This window comes from Homo sapiens, chromosome 12 (assembly GCF_000001405.40).
Source record: "Homo sapiens chromosome 12, GRCh38.p14 Primary Assembly".
Classification (NCBI taxonomy): Eukaryota; Metazoa; Chordata; class Mammalia; order Primates; family Hominidae; genus Homo; species Homo sapiens.
The window spans coordinates 101,943,181-101,965,632 of record NC_000012.12 but is presented as its reverse complement, the minus strand read 5'-3'; the positions used below and the strand labels follow the sequence as shown (position 1 = coordinate 101,965,632).

Sequence of the window (22,452 nt, the reverse complement as noted above, 5' to 3'; positions counted from 1 at the left end):
ATTATTAGGTTAATGACAAAAAGGATAGAAAGAAGAAGACAAAAAGAATGTTGTGACTTAATGGCTGCTCCAGGTGAAAGAGAGGAATAAAAAATTATTCCACGGGTGACTTGGTAAACAATGGTACAATTAATTGCAAAAGGGCACAGGACTTTTAAAAAGGGAGCTGATGCGTTCAGTTTAGCAACAAATGTATTGCATTTGAGGTACCAGCAGGACGTCTACATAACTAACTGGTGTAGAGCTCAGAAAAGAGTTAAGATTAAGATTTCTGAAGTATCAGCTCATGGAGGGTGGCTTAATCCATATAGGCCAGGTGGGCAGCAGTATAGGATGTTACTGGTTCTTAACAGGGTTAAGGCCAGGGAGACAATATAGGTTCTTCAGTGGTTCTATTTTTTTTTTTTTAGATGGAGTCTTGCTCTGTTGCCCAGGCTGGAGTGCAGTGGCACAATCTTGGCTCACTGCAACCTCTGCCTCCCAGGTTCAAGAGATTCTCCTGCATCAACCTCCAGAGTAGCTGGGATTACAGGCACATGCCACCACGCCTAGCTAAATTTGTATTTTTAGTAGAGATGGGGTTTCACCATGTTGACCAGGGTGGTCTCGAACTCCTGACCTCAGGTGATCTGCCCTCCTCAGCCTCCCAAAGTGCTGGGATTATAGGCCTGAGCCACTGCACCTGGCCAGCTTCATCAGTGATTCTTAACAGGATGGTATGTGTGTATAGGTAAAGAGGGTTGGTCTAGTTCACCTATTGTTGAGTAACAAACTACCCTAGAGCTTAATGACATAACACAACCATTTATTTTGTTTATGATTTTGTGGGTCAGGCATTTGGAAAGGGTATAGCTAGGTAGTTTTGTTCCACATGATATTGGCTGGGCCTGAAGGATCCACTTCCCAGATGGATTCTCCACTCACACATGGGATCTCATCCTTTGCAGCTGCTTCACATGGCCTAGCTTTCTCATACCATGGTTGTCTCAAGATAATCACACTTCTTACAAGAGGTAGGAGGTGAAAGCTACCAGACCAATAAAGGGCTATGTCTAGAACTAGCACAATTACTGCTATCACATTCTATTGGCCAAAGATATCACAGGGCCCCACTATATTCAAGAGGTTGATAAATAGACTTTATCTCTTTTTTTTTTTTTTCCAGGTTAAGCATCTGTTTTATTCAAACCTGGGTAAGTCAGAAGCTTTAGGCAGCCTGTTTTGCAGGAAATTTAGTGCTGGAATGTCTTCCTACCTCACTCTCCCAAGAACCTGCTCCTGCAGATGAAACCTCAGAACCCCTCCTTCTTGTCAAAAAGGGGCTGGTCTTCAGCCTTGAAGTCCAGGTTGGGGCTGCCAAACTCATTGAGAATTGTCTGAGCCCTGTAGCTGACAATTGGGTGTTTGGCTTTGTACACACTGGTGAAGACATCATCCATGGACTACAACTTCTTGGCTATGAGACCTGTGGTGTGTCACAGGTAAGGTCTACATGATCCAAGGACACCTTGGCTACCCCTCTAGCAGAGTCCTTCCTGGTCAAGGCATTGTAGGGGGCTCTTTGTCCATAAAACCCCTTTCCAGAGGTGACATCAAGCCCCACTCCCTTCACTGCCAAATAGATGGGCTGATCCTTCTCCTGCCATAGTAGACCAGCCCCCCAGGCTAGCACCAGAATCAGGACTAGCACTGCCAGCTGCTGCAGCCACTGCCCTGGCATGGGGCCCACCACAGTGAACACGTGGTGCAGAGCAAAGGCAGCCTGGCCAGCCTAGACTTTATCTCTCTCTTGATTCTCTTGATGTGGGAGTGGCACACATTGCAGAAGGACATGTGGGATAGGAGATATTTTGGAGCCATATTTGTAAAATACTGTCTGTCATAGAAGTGTTCACCAAAGTCACCTGAGGAGCTTTTGCAAATTATAGCAATTATGCTTCCAAGTTTTAAATAAATTACATAGAGGCTTCTGACACATATGCCTGACCAAGACCCACTAGAAAAAGTGGCTCAGGACTGACATGTGTAAGGAGGGGAGCAGCTTTGAATATGGAGCTCCTACTGTAGACCAGAGAGGAAAGAAATGAACTAGAAGCAGTATGCAAGCCAAAGGAGAAGAGAATTTCAAGGAGGCTGAGGTCAGAAGCACTAACTATGATGGAGACAGTGAGGATGAGGAGAACTAAGCAAAGGCTGATGAATTTGGCTTTAAAAGCTCTCCAGAAATCTTTGAAATCTGTTTCAATGGGGTTGAAATCTGAATTCAGAAGCTTGCAAACTGAATTTGCAACCAAAATAAGTTTTTTTCCACTAGAAGTGTGGCTAGCCTCATTAAAATCTTATTTGTAAAGACTGAAATAGCAGTTCTATGACAATATACCCAGTCTGCAAACAAAGTGTTGTAAAGGCAGCTAAGGTGTAAACTTTAAAGGCAGCTAAGGTGTAAACTTCAAGCAAATGGAGATATTTTCCTCTTGCTACTTCCTTTTATCTTTGCAAATACATTGCTTGGTATTAACTTTGATGTTTTTCTTTATTTGGGATATCAATTCAGAATCATGTAGTGTATCAGTTAGTTCTTGTTGTATAACAAATCACCCAAAACTCAACGCCTTAAAATCAGGGGTCAGAAAACCATAGCCTGTGGTCCAGATGCCAGTTTTTGTGAACACAGTTTATTTAGACACCACCATGTCTGTTCATTTACACATGATCTATGGCTATTTTTTTGCACTACAGTAGCAGAGGAGAGTTACAACACAGGGTATGCTGCACGAACCTATATTATGTACTATAGGGTCCTTTAAAAGTAAAGGTTTGCTGAATTCTGCTTAAAACAATGAGTATTTGTGACTGCTCATGAGTCAGCTGGGCAGTTTTTCTGGTCTCAGCTGTGCTCACTCAAGCCTCACTCATGATCAGCTGTAAGCTCTGGCAATGTGGGGTAAGCTCTCTCATCTGTGGTGGTTGACTGGTTGTTGGATAGCTTAGTATGGCTTTGACTGGAATCACTGGGATCTTCTCCATGACTTTTTATCTTCTAAGTATAGCCTAGTGCTATGTCCTGAATGTGTCCTCCAACAACCCATATGTTGAAACTTAATCACCACTGTGATAATATTAAGAGGTGGAGCCTTTAGGAGGTGATTAAGTCATAAAGGCAGAGCCCTCATGAATGGGATTAATTACCTTATAAAAGAAGTGCAAGGGAGCTGTTTGTCCCTTTTCCCCTCTGTGTCTCTATTTCACCATGTAGGGACACAGCATTCATCCCATTTGGAGGAAGCAGTGTTCAAGGCACCATCCTGGAAGCAGAGACTGGGCCATCACCAGGCACCAAACCAGCTGGCACCTTGGTCTTAGACTTCCCAACCCCCAGAACTGTGAGAAATAAGTTTCTATTATTTATAACTTATCCAGTGTCAGCCATTTTCCATAGCAGGAGGAACAGACTAAGACACCTAGACTTGACCATACAGTGGTAGTAAGTTTACTGCAAGCAGAAGCTCACAGGTCTCTTGGTGCCTGTGCTCAGAAGTGTACCATCATTTCTACCACATTTCACTGGCCAAAGCAAATCACAAGGCCATCCCAGATTCAAGAAGTGGGGAAATAGTCTACCTTGAGATGAAAGGAATTGCAAAGTCATATTGCAAAGGACGTGGATATGGGGAGGCCCAAAGGATATGGGGATGGCCATCTTTGCATTTATCTGGAGTAGTGCATTCTGGAGTACAAAAAGTACACCAGACTGGGACTTGAGAGAACTGAGGTCAGATTCTGACATGGCTGCAAAAACTCACTCTGTGACCTTATACACATCACTCATCATCTCTGAGCCTCAGACTCCTTAGCTCTAAATTAGTATTTTTAAATGCCATACTCTGTTCTTGTTTGCATTCAACAAATGTTTATTTTCTTGAAATATCTTTTAACAACTCTTGAAAATACTCTCTATTTTCTAATGTGGTATTACTTGGGGCCAACATAAAGGAAAACATCTGCTTTTTTTTCACTGCTTTGACAAGGATTCTAAATATTTGTAATTTACGTGAAAAAAATTACAACAGTCATACTGGGTTTCTTTCAAATGTGAAGAAAGAGCAAAGATTTTTCAAATGAGAATGATAGAAGCCACCTTCATGGGAAAATATTCTGAAGATGGTGTTTGCTCAGAATGGCTCAAGTCCTTGCCTTCATCAGGCAGTACTGGTAGAGTGGTAATATAAGAGAGATTTAGGTTAATGAACTCTCTAGAGCATTCTACAATAAGAGTTATAATGACTGGGTTTGTCATATGCTTAGCAATCCATTTCCAAATTAAACTAGAAAGACAGTGGTGTGAACCTGGCCCTTCCTAGACCTGCCATCAGGGTGAACTTCAAGCAGCATCCTCCCCACCCAGCCCCTGAAAAGGCTCTCCAACATCCACCTTCAGCAAGGCCAAGTCTTGAAACAGAGTTTGCATAGATGGGCTGGTGTCATGAGGATCTTCATTCTTTGTAATCAGGTTCCCAGTGCTACAATGGGATATTTATAAAGATGGGGAACCAGCGGGGTGCCATGGCTCACACTTGTAATCCCAAAACTTTGGGAGGCCCAGGTGGGTGGATCACTTGAGCTCAGGAGTTTGAGACCAATCTGGGAAACATGGTGAAACACCGTCTCTACAAAAAATACAAAAAACAGCTGGGTGCAGTGGCATGCATCTGTGGTCCCAGCTACTCGGGAGGCAGAAGTAGGAGATAAGAGAATTGCTTGAGCCAAGGAGGCAGAGGTTGCAGTGAGCCGAGATCGAGTCACTATACTCCAGCCTGAGTGACAGAGTGAGACGCCGTCTCAAAAAAAAAAAAAAAAAAAAAGATGGGAAACCAATTGAGTTATTAATCAGTCCTACTGTTTCCAAATCACTTCAGCCTTGTCCTTCTTCCATCCCCTAGCTACTACTTCCTGCTCATTCTTGTTCATATTTTATCTTCCTCCCCTTTCTTTGTCTCTCTGTCTTATTCAAATCCTAATCAGACTTCAGAGTCAGGCTAAATTCTGCTTCTCCCTGGAAGCTTTCTTTAACAATTATAGGTCTCTCTGACATCTTCCATACAAGCATGGGTTACTCAATAGGGTGAATAAGTATGTGTTCAAGAAGTAACATTTATTCTGCATTATATGGGGAGAAAGCACACAAAAAGTGTATGTTTTTTAGTTTCTGGCTTTTAGAGCTCTTAATTTTGTTCTGATCTTTTCTCTGAAATTATATTTTACTTGTTGTGTTTTCCATACATATGGGCATGTAATTGTATATTGTCTTGTGTATGTGTATGGCCTAGTGGCTGAGAATATGTATTCTGAAGTTTGATTTGTGTGGTTTGAATCTTAACTCTGACACCTGACTTGTTCTGTGATTTTGGCAAAGCATTTGTGGTAGATAGTCTCCAATCATGGCTGTCATCAACTCCTTCCCTCCTATATATTCACACCACTTCTCCACTGAAAGGTAAAATTTCTATCCCCTTCTCTTAAATCTTGGTGGGCCTGTGACTGCTTTGATCACTAGATAGTGGCAGAAGTGACATTCTGAGATTTCTGAGCCCAAGCGTTAAGAGAACTAGAAGCTTACATGTCTTCTCTCTTGGAATGCCCCCTTTTGGAACACAGCTGCCATCCTATGAGAGGTACATGGAGAAGCATGGGTTTGTGCCCTTATGGACGGTCACAGCTGTGCTCCCAGCTGAAAACCAGCATCAACTGCCAGCCATACAAGGGAGCCATCTTGCATGTTCCAGCCCAGTTGAGCCTTCAGATAAATGCAGCCCCAGACAACAGCATGTGGGGCAGAAGAACCACCCAGCCGAGCCCAGTCAACTCACAGAATCATGAGATACATTAAAATGGTGGTTGTTTCAAGCCACTATGTTCTGGGGGTTGTTATGCAGAATAGATAATTTCCATCTTAAACAGTATTTAAACTCACTAAGATTTGTAAAATTGGGTCAATAATGGTACCTCTCTCATAGAATTGTTTTGAGGATAAATGAAGTTATATGTATGGTAAGTGCTTAGGGCTAGTATGTTACTTATTTATATAAGGGAGAAAATGAGTGGAGCTAACATTTATTGGACAGCAAGTAGGTTGGTGCAAAAGTAATTGTAGTTTTTGCCGTTACTTTTTTTTTTAATCTTTTTTTTTTTTTTTGAGACAGAGTCTCACTCTGTAGCCCAAGCTAGAGTGCAGTGGTACAATCTTGGCTCACCGCAACCTCGACCTCCTGGGTTCAAGTGATTCTCCTGCCTCTGGCTCCCGAGTAGCAGAGATTACAAGCACCTGCCACTGAGCCCAGCAAATTTTTGTATTTTTAGTAAAGACAGGGTTTCACCATGTTGGCCAGGCTGGTCTTGAACTCCTGACCTTATGTGATCCACCTGCCTCGGCCTCCCAAAGTGCTGGGATTACAGGCATGAGCCACCAGGCCTGACCTATCATTACTTTCAAATGGCAAAAACCACAGTTACCTTTGCACCAACCTAATCCTACTAGTACTACTACTATGTGCCAGGTCCTATGCTACATTTTCACACACATGATCTCTCTTGCTCTTCACGAAAACCTTGTTAGGCATATATTTTTGTCCTTAGCATTGAGCTGAGATTCAAAGAGGTGAAGTGGTTTCCCCAAGATCTTACAGCTAGCAGGTAGTGCAAGTAGGCTTCAAACCCCTGGCTGTCTGACTGCAAAGCCCATTCCTTTTTTCTACCTTTCCACACACTTTGGATAGAGGGCCTTCCTGAAATCTTCCAGAGTGTAATAAATATTTTCAGTGAGAAATTACATAATCAGTCAGATCCTATGCAACCCAACCAATATTCTGCTTCTGACATGAATATTAAGGAAAACTTAAAAACATTCCCTAAAGCATTTCACTCCCACTAAGAAAAGTATTTGCAAATCTAGTAACAAAGAATCTAGATAAATCTTTCATGGAACTTTTCATGGTTACTTTCAGCCTATGCCACTTCTCTGGGAAGCAATTTCCAGGCATCTAAAGTGGTATTTCCTTTTATTTTCTCTCAAATATTACCTTAAACCCTCCAGGAAAGGCTGCCCCCTCATGTGTGTATACATTGCTACCTAACTTATAAATGGGAAGGTAAATTAACTGGCTCCCATTTCTCATAGAGCCAGTTTGCTTGGTAAGGTCAGTACAAAGCTGACAAGAAAACCCAAACTAGGTCCCCCATACCAGGCCTCCGACATCCTGGCTGCAAGCTCACCAGAGATCTGTGTCCAACAATAAAATCCTCCTCAAATCTGGGAGCACTCAGCTTATTCCTGCCTTCTCAATCTTTTAAGTGCCTCCTTCCCATGCTCCTTTTTTTCCTTTCCCGTATCTTGCAAAATCTTGTTCCAAAATGTCAGTCAACCGTCAGCTAATGGGATCAGAAGTTGCCTCACAATCACAAAAACCTCCTGATCCCAGCCAAGGGCCCCCCATCACATCCAGTGTCCCAAGATGAACTCCCAGCCTCCATGACATAAGAAGACATTTCAGAGAAACTTTATAAATAGAGAAACTCATTCGTTATTTTTTCGAAAGACCAAGGAAAGAAAATGCAATGACCAAGGAAATTGTTGGTGGGTCATTGGCTGGGACACTGACATTCGAACATTGAACAATTAATTTGAGGATAATATAAACAGGTTTCATTACACCGATTTTAAGAATATGATATGAATAGTCTGTTGTTTTGAATTCTAGAATGTCCCTCCCCCTACCACACACCGTCTCCCTTCCTACTGGCCCCCTTACTATGAGCTGGCACTTCTCACTACTCTCTCTCCTGCTGGTTGTTTTCTTCATCCATGTCTGCTGTTAGAGTACAAATGAACTCAGTCTGCGACTGGCTTCCTGTGGTTGCCTTGCCTACATTTATTCTGGTTTTCTATTGTGTTCCTGACACATTTTTAAGAGTTCCATTATGTTGGAGCTTTTTTTTTCCTACTCTCTTCAGAAAAAACAAATGACTTTTCAAAAGGAACATCTTTTAAAAAATGTTTTTGTTTAAAGAAATAAGGTTCCCTTTAGTTCTTTGTGCTCTTTCACAATTACAGCCATGTAATCCATAAGGAATCCATTAATGTGTAAGAGGCTTTGAAGCTATCACGTGTGTGTGTGCGCGTGTGTGTATGTGTATGCATGCGCACGCGCTGTTTTTTCTTTTTCTCTTTCTTTCAGAATATTGCTGCTGCCAACCACTGATTTAGGAATGTTTAGAGGTATATGCCAACTCAATAATCAAAATCATTTTGGTACTGGGAACCCAACCACAGTCTCTGTAGACCAGTGGAATTTATTGCTTGCTCCAGTTTATTAAGTAAGAGTACCAACAGCATTTTGAATAAAAAAGAGTCTGATAAGATGTGATAGAATGTCAGGATAATTCATTTTCATCATAAAACAATGCTTGTTTTGAATCTGAAATGTTAAAAGCACAAACAGCCTGATGATCACGTTTTCCATCCCTTGACCTGGTATGGGAATATGATTCATAACTGTCTTCAGGAAAGAAGCTCAGTATAAACTGATGGTTTTCTGCTACACACACATCCCTGTTTTTATTCCACAAATACATATCTAATACCTATTGGGAACAAAGCACCGTACTCGGCATTGGGACCACAGTGGTGAAGAGAATAAACACAATTCCTGCCACATGGCACTCACAGAGGGAAGCTATCTTGGCCGCATCAATTACTTAAGACATTTGAGACGCACACAGAGTAATGCTGAGGCTTGTGGACTCTGGAGTCCAATGTAACTGTGTTCTGTTCCAGGCTAGACCACTCCAAGCTATTTTATTTTGAACAATTTTGCAGCCTTGCTCAGCTTCAGATTCCTAAATTGCGGTACTTACTTCATAAGGTTATTTCTAGGATTAAGTGGAAAAATGCTTGTACAGCTTTTAGCAAAGTGCCTCGTTAGCCAGTAATAGTAGTAGCACTAGTAATAGTAATAGTATGAGATGGGCCATATCTGGGGTCCCCAAGCCCCAGGTCACGGACCAGTACTGGTCCGTGGCCTGTTAGGAACTGTGCCACACAGCAGAAGGTGAGTGGCAGGTGAGTGACAGAGGCTTCATCTGTGTTTGTAGCCACTCTCCATCACTCACATTACCGCCTGAGCTCTGCCTCCTGTCAGACTAGCAGCAGCATTACATTCTCATAGGACCGCAAACCCTATTGCAAACTGTACGTGTGAGGGTTCTAGGTTGCGAACTCCTTATGAGAATCTAATGCTTGATGATCTGTCACTGTCTCCCATCAGCCCCAGAGGTGACCATCTAGTTGTAGGAAAACAAGCTCAGGGCTCCAACTGATTCTACATTATGGTAAGTTGTATAATTATTTCATTATATATTGCAATGTAATAATAATGGAAATAAAGTGCACAATAAATATAACGTGCTTGAATCATCCTGAAATCACCCCTCCCCCCACATTGGTCCATGGAAAAATTGTCTTCCATGAAACTGGGCCCTGGGCGCCAAAATGCTTGGGGACCACTGGGCCATATGAACCTTCAGTAGAACAGGCTCTTTCCTTATCCTTGGTATTTCAAGTTATTAGGTCCACCTGTTACCATGAGGTCACAGATCCATCCTACCCTGGGATTCTGTTCCATTTGAGGGAGAGATAAAAAAAGGCTTGCCCAATGCCCAGAAACACATTTTCTGCCTTCTCTTGCAGTGCCTCTTCTTGCCCATGGAAGGACATGCAGCTTCTTACTCCTCTGCTGCCCAACACAGTTTACTGGCTGGCCACTCCATGGCTAGGATCCTTCACACTACCTGAGACCTGATGTCTCTGGCTCCAAAGGACGCAGCTCTGCTCATCCCCCAGTGAGGCCTGTCATGAGTTGCTGTGGCTGTGGAAGCCTGCCATCCTGGGATGGAGACTTTTCCCACCACCCTGTCCCTTTAATTTCAGCAGGCACATCATCCCGCCTCATGTGGATCCCCAGAGCAGCAGATCTGGAATCTCCTGTGATGCTGAGGCCTTCAGGGACCACAGGAAACCCATCTTAATGATGAATCCTGGACTTTCTTTGCCCTTGGAACAGTCCTGGTTTCACACATTTACCTCCAAAAGAGCACTTAACAGCTGCCACGTGGCTGCCCTGAGGTTTGGGCTGAAACAACATGACCGTCATACCTTCCCAGAGTCCTCCCAAGAATGGTCTCTAGGTTCTCCTTCGCACAGTGGGGTACGATGGGCTACTCTGCCCAATCTGTGTACTCTCCTTGGGCTACTCTGCCCAAACTGTGATTTGGGGCATATAGCTATGCCTTCTCTGGTTCCTCTGTACCAAGGTCTCTCCAGTGGCTACCTCTTCTACTCAGCAGGACAGAGAAGCTCTCTTGGTTTTTATTCTTAGGATCCAGGTTCAGAAAACAAATAAACAAACAAACAAACAAAAAACCTCATGGTAGCTAATCTGCCCCCTCCCTTCTCTATGAAATGGGCAGGCAGAGAAAATCCCCCTGGCCCTGCCTAGCCCATCCATTCCTAAGGGACCTTCCCATAGCCAGATTGCAAGAGGAGAGCAAATTTAAATGAAATAAATATGAATTTCCTCCTAACAATAATAGTTCCATTCATTCAACACTTACTGAGTTCCCAATTACCTACTCAGTGCTAGAGGACAGATAAATCCCAGCAGCCTTCCTGGTAGTTTAGCAAGAAGCTGGCTGAGCAGGTCTGTGTTAGTTCAAAGGAAAAGCAGGCTGATGCCTGAGGCTAAATTCTAAAAGGTCTCTCTTCTAACAAGGCTGCTTCTTCAACCAAGAAGTTCCCAATATCTGCAGTGTGCTAGATGTCCTCTGCCATCATTTCCCCAAAATACATAGAGCAGTAAGGGGCAGGGTCCTTTCCCAGGAGCCACTCCCGGGAAGCTAGCATCCAGCTCTGGCTGATCAAGCACACAGTTTTTGTCAATGATTACAGCCAGGGTACTATGCATTCTGCTGCCACTCCACATCGAAGCATCCCCAGTAAGCCATATTTCACTCTCTGCTACATGTCACTTGTCAGGTGTGTATCTGTGCCACCTTGGCAGGACAACATCAGACCCCAGCAGATTAGCCATACAAGTGTGAACTCAAGGTCCTCATGCATAAAGAATTCATAGTCTTGTGGAAAAGAAATCAAAGACAATAATAGATGCAAATACATTTATAGACATTTCTTAATTTAAAAAATGACTTTAACAAGCTGTTACTCCACCCTCACTCCATGCAACAAATATACTATGTGCAGTGATTGTAATCTTAACTAAGATGCATATTTCTGCCTGCTTAGCAAAGTCCTGTAGGACCACTCCTTTGAGAAACATAAAGAGACCAGAATTGGTTCCTGGATCCTCACTTTCACTCTCCAGGTATTAAAACAAACAAGCAAACAAAAGATCCGCTACAGAAAACTTTATCCTAACAAGAACTTCCACTAGGAAGAAACTCCAAAGGAGGACGCTATGGTCTGAATGTTTATGTCCCCCCTGAATTCATATATTGAAATCCTAACCCCCAAGGTGATGGTGGTGGGGCCTCTGGGAGGCGATGAAGTCACAGGGATGGGATTAGTGCCTTCATAAAAGAGAACTGAAAGAGTTCCCTTGTCCTTTCCAACATGTGAATTACAGCAGAAGGCACCACTTGTGAATCAGGAAGTAGGCTTTCACTAGACACCAAATCTGCCAGACTTGCTCTTGAACTTCCCAGCCTCTAGAACTGTAGGAAATAAGTTTATGCTGTTTCTAAGCCACCCAGCTTATGGTATACTATCATTAGAGCTTGAATGGACTAAGACAGAGGGGATCTTCACTAAAAGGGAACCAATTTTGATGGAGAATGGACCACTAACTCAAGTATACTAACTCTTTTTTTTTTTTTTTTTTTTGAGATGGAGTCTCGCTCTATTGTCCAGGCTGGAGTGCAGTGGCGCGATCTTGGCTCACTGCAACCTCTGCCTCCTGGGTTCAAGCAATTCTCCTGCCTCAGCCTCCCAAGTAGCTAGGATTACAGGCACGTGCCCCCACGCCTGGCTAATTTTCGTATTTTTAGTAGAGATGGGGTTTTGCCATATTGGGCAGGCTGGTCTCAAACTCCTGACCTCAAGTGATCTGCCTGCCTCGGCCTCCCAAAGTGCTGGGATTACAGGCGTGAGCCACTGTGCACGACCTTAACTCTTTATTTACACTGACCCATTTAAGAAATTTAACAGAAAATACTAAGTTTTTGCTACAAACCAAAGATAATGTTTCCACATGAGCAGACACTCCAGTGGGGATGAAAACATGGTAGTTGGCCCTTTGAAATGAGATGGCAAACCTAGGAAAATACTCAGGCCTGGGCTGCTGCGTTCAGGTTATGCCTTACACAACAGAGACGGACTGAGGGGAAGAAAGAGGCTGCAATTGACTCCTCTCTTAGCTTGTGTGGCTGAAGCATCCAGTGGAAGGAATACCATGCTTTTATTTCACACAAAGACACTACCACCCACCAAGCCTAGAGAAGCCCATTTTTTTCTAATTCATCTGCCCAGAGGCTTTCCTTTTTATAATTGCTGTAATTTGTATGTGCTAACAGGTGCTCCAACTTCCTTCAAAGCTTTCTGAACTTGATGGTTCTGAGGGCAAGTGGGGGATCCAACTATTAATAATTTGAAGCATCCACCCTTCACTTGAAAATGGCATCTTCTTCAAGGCCTCAGACTTACTTTGGACTCTGGTCTTCTACCAGGGGGTAACCAGGGAGCTTTCAAAAATGATGGGCTCTGTTCATTTAGGGATTTAAAAAAAATTATTATTAAACTTTTTATTGTCACATCACTGTAAATTCATTTGCAGTTGTAAGAAGTAATACAGTGAGATCCCATGCATACTTTACCCAAGATTTATTTTATTTATTTATTTATTTATTTATTCATTTATTTTTTGAGACAGAGTCTCGCTCTGTTGCCCAGGCTGGGGTGCAGTGGCATGATCTCAGCTCAGTGCAACCTCTGCCTCCCGGGTTCAGGCGATTCTCCTGCCTCAGTCTCCTGAGTAGCTGGGACCACAGGTGCATGCCACCACGCTCAGCTAATTTTTTGTATTTTCAGTACAGACAGGGTTTCACCGTATTAGCCAGGATGGTCTTGATCTCCTGACCTCGTGATCTGCCCATCTTGGCTTCCCAAAGTGCTGGGATTACAGACTTGAGCCACCGCGACTAGCCCAAGGTTTATTTTTGCAAACCAACATTTGTTGAGCATTTTTCTGTACCAGACATTAGGAAAACAAAAATGTTTTAGATGAAACCCTGGCCCCTTAGGACCTTCATTCTCATGATGAAGACAGACACAGAAGGTTTTTTGATGAAGTTCATCATGCAAAGTGCCCAGAGTGAAGTGAACATCTCAGAGAAAGAGTCCTGCGCAGTGTCTTAGGGGATGAGCAGAAGTTTTCCAAGAGCAGTGGATGTTGGAAGGGCAGTCTGGGCAGAGAAAACAGCATGGGCCAAGGCTCAGAAGTAGGAAGTAACATGGCACCGGTGTGCTGGGGGCCATTCAAGAAATTCAGCATGAATTGGAGCAAAACATTCAAGGATCGGAGTTCAGAGGCATCCTGAGAACAACAAGGGAATGTTGTGCGATCCTGACCTCCTATGTTCTATGCCGGGGAAATGATAAGCAGATGGGAATTATGCTCCCAAACATGACTAGAGAATGACTCTCAGAGAAGCAGAAGAGAATCTCATTCAGATCTGAAGAGCCTGCAGAGACCTCACTGCAACCACTGGGATAATAGGGCCCAACTTCCTTCTGTGACCTTCACCCAAAGCCAAGGACAGGAAGTCTAGCTCACATCTTTCCAGCAAGGCAGAAAATTCTTCTCCTGTATAAGGGCAGCAATTGGAACAAAACAGAGTGCACCCTCTACCAATCTGGGCTGCTAAGCCCAGCTGTCCTTGGCTCTCATGTGGTGTGAAGAGTGCCCTGAAGTCCTTCAAGGGCCCATTGAAAGATAAAGAAAGTAGATGGTGTGCTGGCAAGCTCAGCAGAGGGTTACCAAAGTGGGAGCTTGCGGGCAGACCACCTGGGCTGGTGATCGAATGGGAATCCCCACACCTTTAAAGAAATACACAATCTCAGAGAGCTGAGATGATGCAAGTTAACCAGGAGGCCCCCAAACCCTGGCTGAGCTGAGAGACAGCAGACCAAGAGTATTACTGTAGCCACAGATGTTTGCAGAAGGTGCCGGTAGAGTGAGGAGTGACAGGGTAGACAGGGAAATCATTTCTTCAAAACGGGTGAAGATCTGGCATGAGACCAACACAAAGATTGGAGTTCCACCCACCCACCACCACAGCGACACAATCAGCAAACCCTAACAAGCCACTTGGAGCAGAAGACAGAGGGGACACTGAAATACTTAAATCTAAGTTTCCTTGTTACTCAGCAGGGTGGAGCTTATAGGAGGATTAGGTAATTTGTAGAAAGATAAGAAGTTTCATTTTCTTTGAATAAATGAGCATTTTGTGTATAAATGATCAATCTTCTGTACATTTTAAGAAATCCCTGGCGAGGTTTTGAAAGAAACAAGTCCACTTTAATTCAGAATAAGGGTTCTATGCTGGTTAATGACTTCTGAATGATGCCATACTCCCTGCCAGTGTTAAAATATTCTCTAGAATAAGCCTGTCCAACCCGCGGCCCATGGGCTGCATGCGGCCCAGGATGGCTTTGAATGCGGCCCAACACAAATTTGTAAACTTTCCTAAAACATTATGAGATTTTTTTTTTTTTTAGCTCATCAGCTATCGTTAGTGTTAGTATATTTTATGTGTGGCCCAAGACTACACATAAAAAAATTGGTGGCCCAAGACCACCAATTCTTCTTCTTCCAATGTGACCCAGGGAAGACAAAAGATTGGACACCCCTGCTCTGTAATATTCAGTAGAAAAAGAGATGAGCTCCTTTTTTTTTTTTAACCTGTCCTGAGGTCCAAAGAAGTGACAGCTCCTGGTACATCTCCAGAAAACGGGAATGTGACCTACTACTTTACAAGAGGACGAGAGTAGACCTTGTATCTGTGAACTGGTTTATTTCAGGACAACCTGATTTTGTAGTATACCACCTTGAAGTTGAAAGGGAGAGAGAGAGAAAATGGTGTGGGATAAAGAAGGAAGCAGTGTCCTTTACAGACAGGACTTAGAATTTGGTGGCTTATGAGTCACTGATGGTCATATTCTTAGGTGTGTTTTTTAAAGTAAAAAATACATTTTCTTAGTGAGGTTAGCTGTGTTAACAAAACCCCTCCAAATCTCAACAACTCAGAACAAACATTTTTTTCTCGCTCTCTGTATTTCTGTCTCATTCCAGGAACCAGGCTAAGAGAGTAACTCCTTCATGAGACGTACCTGGGAAAGAGCAAGAAAACTGGCCAAAACTCACAATGCATCTTAAACACCCAACATAGCAGACACCATATTTACTCACATTTCATTGGCCAAAGTGTGTCACGTGGCCAAGCCCAAGTCCAGTGAGATGGAGACATAAAATTCCCCCACAAGAAGGATAGTAAACCACCTGCTGATGGACAGGGATGAGTAATACTCTTTTTTTTTTTTCTTGAGACAGAGTCTCACTCTGTCACCCAGGCTGGAGTGCAGTGGCGCAATCTCAGCTCAGTGCAATTGCTGCCTCCCGGGTTCAAGCAATTCTCCTGTCTCAGCCTCTTGAGTAGCTGGGATTACGGGCATGCACCATCATGCCTGGCTAATTTTTGTACTTTTAGTAGAGATGGGGTTTTACCATGTTGGCCAGGCTGGTCTCGAACTCCTGACCTCAAGTGATCTACCTGCCTCGGCCTTCCAAACTGCTGGGATTACAGGCGTAAGCCACCACGCTCAGCTGAGTAATACTCTTATAGGGACGGGCTAGGGAGAAATTGAAAAAATATATATATCATTTACCCATGATAATACAAACTCATTATCAAAAATTCAGAAAATACGGAGAAGAAAAAAGTAATAATTACCTGTAACCCACTGTTAAAATTTTGATATATTTCCTTTCAGTATATATGTGTGTATGTGTTTGCAAATACAAATGCAAATTTGGGATTATACAACATATACAAGTATGCATCTGCTTCATAGGCTGCTCATTTACAAAGAGTTTTATTATTGAATTCTTTCTCACATAATTATTTTCTAAAAACATCATTTCAGTCCCTCCATAATTTTTGTATTACTTTAGACAAAGTAGGTTATGTAGCAATAACAAAAATTCTCTATGTGACTTAATACAGCAAAGGTTTGTTTCTGATTCAAGCCTCATGTCTGGTGCAGGACAGCATTTTGATCACTTTGAAACAGAGCCCGACTGAGCAGCTGCTATTTCAAATGTATCTGATCATCGAGCAAGAGGAAAGGAGAATATAGAAAAGTATACATATTTTATTAGCCAAAGCAAGTTACATGGTGTGAAATAAATATATATATTTAATTTTAATTTTTTTCTTTTTTTTTTGATACAGAGTCTTTCTCTGTCGCCCAGGCTAGAGTGCAGTGGTGCAATCTTGGCTCACTGCAACCTTCACTTCCCAGGTTAAAATAATTCTCATGCCTCAGCCTCCCAAGTAGCTGGGATCACAGGCATGCACACACACCCAGCTAATTTTTGTATTTTTAGTAGAGACAGGGTTTCACCATGTTGGCCAGGCTGCTCTCAAACTCCTGGCCTCAAGTGATCTGCCAAGTGCTGGGATTACAGGCGTCAGCCCAGCCAATGTGTGTGTGTGTGTGTGTGTGTGTGTGTGTGTGTGTGTGTGTATAATGGCTACAATATTTTGCGGATCCTCCAATCAAGAGATTGAGTCTATTTCTCCACTTGTTGACTCTGGGCTTGGCCATGTGACTTACTTTGGCTGATGGGACATTAGCAAATGTAACATGCGCAGAAGCTTGACACATGCTTGTGCATTGGGGCTTTTCTCTCTTCATGCTTTTAGAATAGCCTAAGATTGACCTAGGGGATGAAAGACCACATGGAGAGAGAGGATGAGCCATCCCAGCTGTCCCATACATGCAACCAGTTCCAGCTGAGCCAGCTCAGACCAAAAGATTCATCCAGCCAGTCCATGAATTTTGACAGTGTCTTAAGCCACTGAATTTTGGGGTGGTTTGTTATGCGGCAAGAGCTGGCTTATACATGTGTTTATTTCTAACTTAATCTGGGAGGAAGCCATAATAGTTTTGAAGGACCTTAACGTCTACCTCAATATTAAATTTTATGGATGTGCCATCATTTATTTAACCATTTTTCATTATTCAAATCATACTTTTAACATCACATTTATTAGAACTATAAATAATGCTCCCATAAACAGCTTTGTTTATAAATTTTTATCCAAGTTTCTGATTATTTCATAATAATAACAACTTCCACTAAATAATAGACTGGTGGAAAAAGAATTACTAGGTCGAAATTTAAGGCTGTTATTATTTATCAAATTATGTGCCAGAAGGATTGTACCAATTTATGTATCTAATGAAAGTGTGTAAGCATGACCATTTCTCCATACCCTCACTCACCATCATTGGCTGTGAGCTTTTAAAAATATCTTTGTTGCCCCTGAGACTGAAATATTATATATATATATATATATTTTTTTTTTTTTGAGATGAAGTCTCACTCTGTTGCTGGGGCTGGAGTGCAGTGGCAAGATCTCGGCTCACTGCAACCTCCATCTAATTTTTGTATTTTTAGTAGAGACAGGATTTCGCCATGTTGGCCAGGCTGATCTCGAACTCCTGACCTTAAATGATCGGCCTGCCTCGGCCTCCCAAAGTGCTGGGATTACAGGCGTGAGCCACTGTACCCAGGCATATATGTGTTAATCTAATGGAGAAAATTTTCTGATTTAAATATTAATATCCTTGCAAATTGAGATTGATTTTTTATATATTGTTAACAGTTAAGAATTTTTACACAACACTCATAGAGTGTATGGTGAGTATTTCTTTATTTTGCTATATCAAATTAAATCCAGTTTGAGTGTCCCACAGGACAAAATTGGCAGGAAGCTCAATAACAGATCTCTTTCCCAGTTTTCTTTGTCTCTCTTAGATGGTGGGGATCCTGGACCCTGCATGGCTGTGTAAAGGCAGGGAGCTCTGTTCTGCTGCCTCATCCCTCTAAGGGAGGCATAGGGAAAACTTTATAAAGGGGAAACTTCACCTGGGTTCCCACAGCACTGAAGGCAGTGTCCGGTTCTCACACTTCCACATGCCTTATATCTACCTTAAAGACACTGGAGTGGGTACAGGGCCCCTTCCTGCTCAAACCTTTAACCACCTGTTGCTTACCCACTGTCACCTCTGTCAGCACCACAGGAAGAAACCTCTAGTTCCCGTTACTTGGAAGAGTTATAATTTGGGAACACTTAAGTGTGGCATGCTAGGCTTGTTGCTGGTTGTAAAATTAAACAAATAGTCTGGGTCCGGTGGCTCACGCCTGTAATCCCAGCACTTTGGGAGGCCAAGGCGGGTGGATCACCTGAGGTCAGGAGTTCGAGACCAGCCTGGCCAACATGGTGAAACCCCGTGTCTACTAAAAAGACAAAAATAAATAAATAGCCGGGCATGGTGGTGGGTGCCTGTAATCTTGGCTACTTGGGAGGCTGAGAGGCAGGACAGTCGCTTGAACCCAGGAGGTGGAGGTTGCAGTGAGCCGAGATCATACCGTTGTACTCCAGCCTGGGCAACAAGAGTGAAACTCTGGCTCAAAGAAAAAAAAAAATTAAATAAGTAAGTATGGCATGCAGGGTGTGGGGAGGTTAAGGGAAACGAATGGCTGGGGTCACAGAAGGTTATGTGTATTCCAAAATGCTTTTCCCAGTGGAATGAGCAGATATTTCAGAAGACAAAAGTTTTAACTGTTGGAAGTGTGATATAAATGTCACAGGTCTAAGAAATCAGATATGGAATTATTGACCTATGAGCCATCCTATTTCCTTTGTAACCAAGAAAAAAAATCACATCATTTTTATTGAGCTAGACTATAAATACAAAGTCAGACTGAACAGCACTTCATGGACACACTTACTACCAAGGCCCTCTGTATTCACGCCTCCCATAGCCACTAATTTTTCATATCCTGCTCTTTGAAAAAGCTTCACTTACATAAAGTGCCACAGGATGTACCTTCTGCCAGCCAATGAATTGACTACTGGTCTCATCACTTGGGGTGACAGGACAGATGGAAAAACCCAGTCATAGTTGCTTGTATCCAAGGAACATAAAGTGCTGCTTTTAACTCTTCTTTCAAGGAAAGTAGCTGAGTGAAAAAGCCAAGTCCTCATGCAACCCACCACCAACTATCCAAACCTGCCTCTGTGTTAAGACAGTGCAGGGGCCAGTCTGCATCTAAGACAGAGGAAGAACTAGCCAGAAACCACCTGAAGGCTACTAATACCAAACACGTTACGAGACAACACGTGCCAGTGCAATCTGTGTGCATTATGCCTTCCCTAAAGGTATGTCAACAAAGGAAGGAAACAGAAACTATTCCCCATGCGGGCAACCTCCCCTCTGCCGCACGTGCAAGAGCTGGGGCAATGGATGCAAAAGAGGGCAGAGGAATGAGGGCCCCTAAGAAAGTAGAACAGATAAGGGCTCAGCTCTTGTACTTTGAATTTGTCAATGGATAAGAGAGGGGCTTTTAGAACTGTTTCACTCTTCCAGGTCTATGTGAGGTCCCGTGGATGTAGTTACTCCACCACAAAATCTCACATCTCCTTAAGATTCAGTTCAGCCCTGAAGTAATAATGCCTCTTTGGAAAGAACAGAAGAGCCCAGAAGCCTCTGGGTTCAAAAGGGCACGGTCTAAACTGACAGCCTGCTTGCCAGCCTCAGAGATAATAAAACTTCTCAGACTGGGAGAGAAATCCACTGTCAAGAATGTCTGCTGAGGAGAGCTCGCTCTGATTGCCGCCATCCCCATAAACAAAAACAGATGTGTGTGCTCACGAGTAAAGTAAACATTCAAGTTCAATATACGCTCCTCTCCGCCAATCCAGTTTGGCACCTCAATGCGAGCAAATAGTCTGTGAGGCAGAGTGGAACTTTTCTATAACATGGGCGGTGTCAAGTGACAGGGCTCACATCTGTGTATTAGGTTACTTGTTATATGAAAAAGCTATAGAATAGACTTTCTGTTTCCCAGGGAATGATTTGAGCTATGGTAAATCTATTGCAATGGAATAAATAGTTGATCCATATTAAAGAAACAAAAGAGCATCATGTTGAAGAACATGAGTTTAAATCCTGGTTCTACCACTTAGGGTTTGTGTGACCCTGGGCAAGTCATTTAACCCCAGTGTTTAACATCTGTAAAATGAGTTTTAGTAGTACTTATCTCTCATCTTGCGGTGGCAAGCATAATAAAATGTGAGCTCCTTCTAGGATTCTTCCATGGCACTAGAGGAAGTAGGATCTAAAAGTCTGAATATCTAAGCTTGTCTTTATTCATCCTTTCAACAAATATGTATTGAGTATCTACAGTGTGCCAGGTACAGAGACAGAGCAGTGACGACGACAGGTATAACTCAAAGGGACAGGATAGAAAAGGGATGAAACACGTCCCTGTTGTTTACTGTGGACTGTTCCTGGATGCAGCCATGTGGCATTTCTGCTTACATCCCACTGATCATAGTAGCAAGAGGGCTGGGTTAGCTGTTATTCTAGATGGCTTTGTGACTGGTTATAAATTAGAGCATTTTGGCTGGGCATGGTGGCTCACACTTGTAATCCCAGCAGTTTGGGAGGCCGAGGCGGGCAGATCACGAAGTCAGGAGTTCGAGACCAGCCTGGCCAACACGGTGAAACTCCGTCTCTACTAAAAAATATAAAAATTAGCTGGGCATGGTGGTGGGTGCCTGTAATCCCAGCTACTCGGGAGGCTGAGACAGGAGAATTGTTCGAACCCAGGAGGCAGAGGTTGCAGTGAGCCGAGATCACGCCATTGCACTCCAGCCTGGGCGACAGTGTGAGACTGTCGCAAAACAAAACAAAACAGAACAAAAATAAATTAGGGCATTTATTCATCACAGAGTCTACAGTCTTGTGATTTATCTGTCCCCTAAGATGTGGCCCTCCTATATCACTTGCCACCCTGAGCTTGGTGTTTCCCAAAGTTTTTTAAACATAAGAATCTCCTGGCACCCCTGTGAAAAGACAGATTCTGAGACCTCACCTTATCCTACTGAAAATTACAGGAGGATTCTGACTCCTTTTTCCTCACTGGCAAAACAGGGAGCAGAGCAAGCCCTATCACAATCTTGTATGTTTCAAGGGAAATAGCATATGCAAAGGAGCTTTGGAAACCATGAAGTTACTCTCTCGTGGCTGGTTTCCAGGCTCGCTCTGGAGGTTCAGAGGCAAAAGCCACTCTGAGGCTGTGGCCCATCACAGTGTCCTCCTCCCCCACACCACCTTCCCTTTTGGGGCTTTCTGGAGACACCAATCAGAAGCCACCCACCTCCATTTGAACCCAATGAACTGATGGTCCCAGGCTGGAACCTGCCTAAAGTTTACCACCAAGGTGGACACCTGAGTTGTGTTCTAGGAGTGCTGATTACAGAGCTTCAGGGGGTCAGGCAGCAGTCAAAACTGATGGTTTTCAAGGGATGGCCCTGCCTTCCCTTGGTACCTGCTGGAATGGAAAATGAACCCAAAGATTAGAGTGGGGAAATGTAGGGTCTTGGTAAGTTCTCATCACCCAGGCCCTGCCCCTTTCTCCAGCTACATCTCCCTCTACCCCTCCATATACCCATCTAGCCTCTGATTACTCCTCTCCTTCTTTCAGTAATAAAATCCTCTACTTTATAACCAGTCACAAAGCCACCTAGAATAACAACTACCCCCAGCCCTCTTGCTACTATGATCAGTGGGATGTAAGCAGAAATGTCACATGGCTGCATCCAGGAACAGTCCATAGTAAACAACTGGCATGTGTTTCATCCCTTTTCTATCCTGTCTCTTCTTTCATCCTGCTGCTTGGAATACTGATGAGATGGCTGAAGTTCTAGCATCTATTTTGGATGTTGGGGATGAAACTACACATTAGGAGTACTGGAATAGAGAAGGAGCCTGGAGCCCTGAGCACTGTGTGGAGTTGAGCTTCTAGTCTAGTTTTGGACTATCTAGTTTGGACTAACCTCTGGACTTCTACCTAAGAGAAATAAACTTCCATTTAATTTAAACCACTGTTGTTTTGGGTTCTGCTATCACAGCCAAAATGAATACTAACTAACAGAGTGCTCAGGAGCATGTATTCTGGAATTAGATTGGCCAGGTTCAGTCACTTATTACCTGGCAGCCTTACGCAATTTGCTTCCCTTCTTTGCCTCAAT

The 22,452-nt window shown here is 43.2% G+C and overlaps 1 long non-coding RNA gene and 1 pseudogene across 2 annotated transcripts, besides 2 other annotated features; one reads left to right on the top strand and one right to left on the bottom strand.

The window, feature by feature from the left end:
* Positions 1,162 to 1,641, bottom strand: NENFP2 (neudesin neurotrophic factor pseudogene 2; annotated as a pseudogene).
* DRAM1-AS1 (DRAM1 antisense RNA 1) lies at positions 1,396 to 10,635 on the top strand. 2 transcript variants are annotated; one of them, XR_001749284.2, is made up of 3 exons: positions 1,396 to 1,481; positions 3,257 to 3,383; positions 9,743 to 10,197. It is a non-coding gene; the product is annotated as a DRAM1 antisense RNA 1 (long non-coding RNA). The 2 variants fall into 2 exon arrangements; XR_007063425.1 differs by lacking the exon at positions 1,396 to 1,481 and having other exon boundaries at positions 3,173 to 3,383; positions 9,743 to 10,635.
* Positions 14,192 to 14,301: an enhancer, noted in NCBI's record as "active region_6876". NCBI's record gives its function as "activates an Ori minimal core promoter by ATAC-STARR-seq in GM12878 lymphoblastoid cells {active_cell/tissue: GM12878}" and the evidence as "EXISTENCE:reporter gene assay evidence [ECO:0000049][PMID:35858748]".
* Positions 15,627 to 15,746: an enhancer, noted in NCBI's record as "active region_6875". NCBI's record gives its function as "activates an Ori minimal core promoter by ATAC-STARR-seq in GM12878 lymphoblastoid cells {active_cell/tissue: GM12878}" and the evidence as "EXISTENCE:reporter gene assay evidence [ECO:0000049][PMID:35858748]".